Source organism: Homo sapiens, chromosome 16, assembly GCF_000001405.40.
Source record: "Homo sapiens chromosome 16, GRCh38.p14 Primary Assembly".
NCBI lineage: Eukaryota > Metazoa > Chordata > Mammalia > Primates > Hominidae > Homo > Homo sapiens.
In genome coordinates this window covers 31,655,884-31,661,657 of record NC_000016.10, presented here as the reverse complement: position 1 = coordinate 31,661,657, position 5,774 = coordinate 31,655,884, and positions in this window count along the sequence as shown.

The following is a 5,774-nucleotide window of genomic DNA, read 5'->3' as shown; positions in this document are numbered from 1 at the left end:
ATCGACCCCAATTAGGGCCAACTCCCATTATCTGTTCAAAACAAACGCACAGGTGGCTGTGCTTGTGTGTTTTCCCTTGCCTGGGTTTGTGCTTTATCAGCCCACCAGGTTTTAAACTGTAAGTACTGAGATGGAGTGAGAGCAGATTTTGTTAAAGTATCCCAGTCATATGATATTAATCTATTCTCAAGAGCCACATTTTTTAGTAAACTTTGTACAAAAGGAGAATTTGGCCCATATTGACTAATGGCTTGCTTAAATTCCTTAAATAACTTAAAAGGAAAAGTAGCCCAATTAGCTATATTTTGCCCTTCTTGCTGGGTGATAGTAATGGGAAATTGCCATGCTTCAAGGTCTCCCTCAGCCCTAGCCTTTTGAATGAATTTTGTATAGCACCACCAATTGCTCCAAGTTTTGATGTTGCAACTACAGGAGCAGTAAGCTTTACAGCTAATTCATTTTCTCGCCCATTAGTGGGAGGGGGAGGAGATGGCCATTCACTTAATTCAGCAGGTGGAGCTGATGGGCTAGTAAAACACACCCTTTTTAGTTTCCCTTTCTTTTCTTTAATTTCCTCCAGTTTTTGCTCCTCGCATCTAGAATCTAAGGTTAGTTTTTTACACTCATTTTCCTCTTCCTCATCTGAATCTGTCTCATCATCTGTTTGAAATGGCCCAAGAGCTGCCTTTATCAATGCCCACACTGACCAAACAGAAACTGGAATTTTGGCTCCTTCTTTATACACCTTTTTAAAATCTCTGCCAATTCTTTCCCATTCATCCAACTCCACAGTCCCTTGTTCTGAGAACCATGGGCAAAACTGCTCTACTCTACTAAAGAGTGTTAATAATTTCTGAGTACTAGCTTTCACTCCCCCTCTCCATAACCAACACCTTAGAAAATTTAAATAAGCAGAATGTTTGCTTTCATTCTGTCCCATTGTTACCCTGGTTCTCCCAAGCACCCAGCTTACCCACTGAGCTTCTTTCAGTCATCCTTGGGTGTCCTTTGACCATGTGTCCTCCACTTCCACATGCTCTGGCATTCCTTCACCGGGGTCTTCGTAGCCAACATTGGGTGCCAGAAATGTTGGGGTGATCAGACACCAACACCAGGTCATGGAGGCTACGAAGTCCCGCAGAGTCAAAGGAATGAGACAAGACAAGTTAAGAGTACATAGGGTGGGTCCAGGGGGCCAACGCTAGTGTATGGAGGCTGCAAAGGCTCTGAGCTCTGGGAGCCCACACTATTTATTGGTAATCAAACAAAGAAGCTGGTGGTGAGGACATGTAGATGTGGGGGTAGACAGGTGAGGATGTGAGGATGTGGGGGTAGAAAGGTAGCAGTGCATCAAGCATAGCTGTGACAATTTAGCATATGCTCTGCTACTTGAGATAAGGGAGAACAGGTTCTTCTAATTCAAGATACATCAATCAGTGAGTCTGGACACATTCCAGAGGCTACAAGGGGTTTTATTCCCTGAGACCTGGGTTCTCTCCAAGCCACAAGGGGTGTTATGCCCTGGGCTTAGATTGTAGTGCAGCAGGGCAGCCTTCCATCCTTTGGCACAGAGCTTGGTGTTCCACAAGGGGAACAAGGCCACAAGGGGTTTTAGACCCTGGACCCAGGACATGTTCCAAGACTCTTTTACATTATGTCAGACAAGCAAGCCCTGCCTTAGCTCTTCTACCAACACTATGCATTTAACACATGTTGAGACGGAGTCTTGCTCTGTCACTCAGGCTGGAGTGCAGTGGCACAAATCTTGGTTCACTGCAACCTCCACCTCCTGGGCTCAAGCAATTTTCCTTCCTCAGCCTCCCGAGTAACTGGGATTACAGGTGCGCATCACCATGCCCAGCTAATTTTTGTATTTTTACATAGATAGAGTTTCACCATGTTGTCCAGGCTGGTCTCGAACTCCTGACCTCAAGTGATCTGCCTGCCTCGGCCTCCCAAAGTGCTGGGATTACAGGTGTGAGCTTCCACGCTCAGCCCAGTATATATAATTTCAAAACAAATATTACAACATATGAATTGGCATTGCAGTGGGAATCAGAAGAGTTCTATGATCATAGACATTTTGGAAGGAATAGGTGAAAGAATTGGCTATTACGTTTTGTATAAGAAAATCAGCACCTGTTCTGTCCATTTTGGAGTAGGCAGGCTGAGGTGCACACAGTGTATGTTGTAACTGTTTGTGTAGCCATGACACACACTCTGTCTGCAACCCCAGACCAAGACAACTGAAAATTAAAGCATGATATGTTTTGTAGAGTAGTACAAAATGAATGGCATTTATGCATGATGAAATTATTTCCTAGTTACCCAATAAGAAATTAATAATGCAACAAAAAATCATATAAGCCACAAGAGAAAGATTAAATCCCTTGTGATAGGAGGAGGAAACCCAGACTGATCGTAGATTTTGGTGATTGATCCTGGATGGGTTTTTTGGAGCCTTACATACTTTCTGTCCTCTGTGTAGCTTGTTTTCTTTTTCTTTTTCTTTTCTTTTTCTTTTTTTTTTTTTTTCTGAAACAGGGTCTCACTCTGTTGCCCAGGCTGGAATGCAGTGGCGTGATCTCAGCTCACTGCAGCCTCCACCTCCCGGGTTCAAGCAATTCTCCCACTTCAGCCTCCTGAGTAGCTAGGATTACAAGTGCCCGCCACTACACCTGGCTAATTTTTGCGTTTTTATTAGAGATAGGGTTTCACCACGTTGGTCAGGCTGCTCTCAAACTCCTGAACTCAGGTTCCACCTGCCTCCGCCTCCCAAAGTATTGGGATTACAAGTGTGATCCACCATGCCCAGCCTGCAGTTTTTCTTCTAATAGTCAGCATTCTCTTTAGTAGTCCCAGTGGCAGGGTGGCACAACCAGAGGTTCCCAAAGGAAAACCTCACGTCTGGATACTAAATATACTATTTGGTTAAATGATAAACTTTTTCACTTGGCATTTCCTAGCACTGATGTAAACAACTTCAGGAGTTTGTCTCTACAATTCTATATCTTTTGAGAAAATATTTTTTCCAGCTCTTTTGTAGTTGGCAAAATACAATTGTATCTATTGGGTGAAAACTTAAACATAGCATCTGAAATCATAAAACTGCTAGAAGAAAACACTGGGGAAAACTTTCTTTTTTAAAAATTTTACTTTAAGTTCTGGGATACATGTGCAGAACGTGCAGGTTTGTTACATAGATATACATGTGCCATGGTGGTTTGCTGCACCTATCAACCTATCATCGAGGCTTTAAGCCTAGGTATTTGTCCTAATGCTCTCCTTCCCTTTGCCCCCCACCCCCCAACAGGCCCTGGTGTGTGATGTTCCCCTTCCTGTGTCCATGAGTTCTCATTGTTCAACTCTCACTTATGAGTGAGAATATGCGGTGTTTGGTTTTCTGTTCCTGTGTTGGTTTGCTGAGAATGATGGCTTTGACATTGGTCTCAACAATGAATTTTTTGATTTGACATCAAAAACCCATACAATACAAGAAAAAACAATCAAATGGGACAACATTCACTAAAACATTTCTCATAGCAAAAGAAAACAATCAACACAATTAAAAGTCAGTCTGTACAATTGGAGAAAAATTCTGTAACAATATATCTGAGAATGAGATTATGTATCAAACATATAAGGAATTCTTAAAACTGAACATCAATAAGTAAATAACCCAGGACCTGAACAGATATTTTTCCAAAGAAGTCCTACAATGGCCAACAAATATTTGAAAAGATGCTTAGCATCACGAATCATGAAGAAATGCACATCAGAACTGCAATGAGCTATTACCTCATACAGACTTGTCAGAATAGTATCTATTAAGAAGTCAAAAGATAATGAGTGCTAATGATGATGTGGAGAAGGGAGAACTGTTGCACACTCTTAGTGGGAATGTAAATGGATAAAGCCATAATGGAAAACAATATGGAGTTTTCTCAAAAAAGTAAAACTAGAAATGCCACATGATCCAGCAATCCCACTTCTGGGTATTTATCTGCCTTGGTTCATTTTGTGCTTCTATGACAGAACACTTTTGGCTGGGTAATTTATAATGAATAGATATTTATTTTCTCATAGTTCTGGAGGCTGGGAAGTGCAAAATCAAGGTGGCAGCATCTGGTGAGGGCCTTCTTGCTACACCATCATGTGGCAGAAAAGCAAAGGCACAAGGTACCACTAACCCTATGATCGTGACATTAAACCCAACTATGAGGACAGAGCCTTCATGGCCCTATTACCTCACAACCACATTTGCCATAACCAAATTTCAACATGAGTTTTGGAGGGGATAAACATTCAAACCATTAACAATATCCAAAGGGAATAAAATTGCTATCTTGAAGAGATATCTGCACTCCTATACTCATCACAGCATTACGCACAATAGACAAGATATAAAAACAATGTAGATGTCTATCAGCAGAAAAATGGATAAAGAATATATGAAATATCTATTAATATATCTATTTGTCTATCAAATGAAATACTATTCAACCCTAAGAAAGAAAATCCTGCCACTTGCAACAACATAGATGAACTTTGAAGACATTATGCTAAGTGAAATAAGGCAGACATAGAAATACAAATGTTGTATGAACTCATTTTATGAGGAATCTGAAAAAGAGTAGAACTCATAGTTACAGAGAGCAGAATGGTGGTGACCTGGGGCTGAGGGACTGGGAAAAAATGAGAGATATTGGTCAAAGGGTACAAACCTGTTGTCACAAAATAAATAATACTAGAGACCCAATGTACAGCATTGTGACTATACTTAATAATTACATCTTGTATACTTGAACTTTGTTAAGAAACATGGATCTCAAATGAACTTACCACACTAAAAAATAGTAACTATGTGACATGACAGATATGTTTATTAGCTTTATTGTGGTAATAATTTCACAATATATAAATATATCAAAACATATATTTTAGTTTTTACACTTTAAATACAGTTTCTATTTGTCAATCATAGTCCAAAAAAGGTGGGAAAAGATTGTGTAACCAAACTAATATCTAGTCACATGTAAATTGTATTTAAGACCATTTGAAATAAATTTTAGATTAAATTTAAAATCTAAATTGGCATAATTATTTTAAATTTTACTTTAAGTTCTGGGATACATGTGCACAACGTGCAGGTTTGTTACACAGATACACATGTGCCATGATGGTTTGTTGCACCTATCAACCCATCATCTAGGTTTTAAGCCCCGCATGCATTAGGTATTTGTCATAATGCTCTCCCTCCCCTTGCCCCCCAACCCCCGACAGGCCCCAGTGTTTGATGTTCCCCTCCCTGTGTCCATGTGTTCTCATTTTTCAGCTCTTACCTATGAGTGAGATCATGCAGTGCTTGGTTTTCTGTTCCTCTGTTAGTTTGCTGAGGATGATGGTTTCCAGCTTTATCCATGTCCCTGCAAAGGACATGAACTCATTCTTTTTATGGCTGCCTAGTATTGCACCCATACCGCAATCCAATGGGATTGCTGGGTCAAATGGTATTTCTGGTTCTAGATCCTTAAGGAATCACCACACTGTCTTCCACAATGATTGAACTAATTTATACTCCCACCAACAGTGTAAAAGTGTTCATATTTCTCCACATCCTCACCAGGATCTCTTGTTTCCTGGCTTTTTAATGATCGCCATTCTAACAGGCGTGAGATGGTATCTCATTGTGGTTTTGATTGCATTTCTCTAATGACCAGTGACGATGAGCTTTTTCTCATGTTTGTTGGCGACATAAATGTCATCTTTTGAGA